The 640-nt window shown below is 48.8% G+C and overlaps 1 annotated feature.

Moving 5' to 3' along the window:
- Nucleotides 433-640: a silencer, noted in NCBI's record as "fragment chr3:177712027-177712234 (GRCh37/hg19 assembly coordinates)". NCBI's record gives its function as "represses an EF-1alpha promoter that drives an FKBP-Casp9 reporter gene in an ReSE screen in K562 erythroleukemia cells {active_cell/tissue: K562}" and the evidence as "EXISTENCE:reporter gene assay evidence [ECO:0000049][PMID:32094911]".

The raw sequence follows: 640 nt of genomic DNA on the forward strand, positions 1-640 counted from the left end.
GTGGCAGTGGTGGTCAAACTCCAAAGGGCTGTTTACATTTTAGATACTGTAGTATGATATACTATAAACTACTGGTGAAAGGGTAAAATCATGACCTCTAAAATTTCTTGCTCCTGTGATACATCTTGGAATGTTCAGCCTGTCATTGGATAAGAGTTGAAGACAAACAACATGCATCTATCAAACTCTACCACAAGAAGGAGAACCACATGACACTAATGGCATACTTTACTCTTTTTTGTTTGTTTGTTTGTTTGAGATGGAGTCTTGCTCTGTGTCCCAGGCTGGACACAGTGGCGCAACATCAGCTCACTGCAAGCTCCGCCTCCCGGGTTCCCGCCATTCTCCTGCCTCAGCCTCCCGAGTAGCTGTGACTACACGAGCCCACCACCACGCCTGGCTAATTTTTTGTATTTTTAGTAGAGACAGGGTTTCACTGTGTTAGCCAGGATTAGTCTCGATCTCCTGACCTCGTGATCTGCCTGCCTCAGCCTCCCAAAGTGCTGGGATTACAGGGGTGAGCCACCGCACCCGGGCTCTTTTTTTTTTTTTTTGAGATGGAGTCTCCCTCTGTGGCCCAGGCTGAAGTGCAGTGGGGCGATCTCGGCTCACTGCAGCCTCTGCCTCCTGGGTTCAAGCG

This window comes from Homo sapiens, chromosome 3 (genome assembly GCF_000001405.40).
Source record: "Homo sapiens chromosome 3, GRCh38.p14 Primary Assembly".
Taxonomy (NCBI): domain Eukaryota; kingdom Metazoa; phylum Chordata; class Mammalia; order Primates; family Hominidae; genus Homo; species Homo sapiens.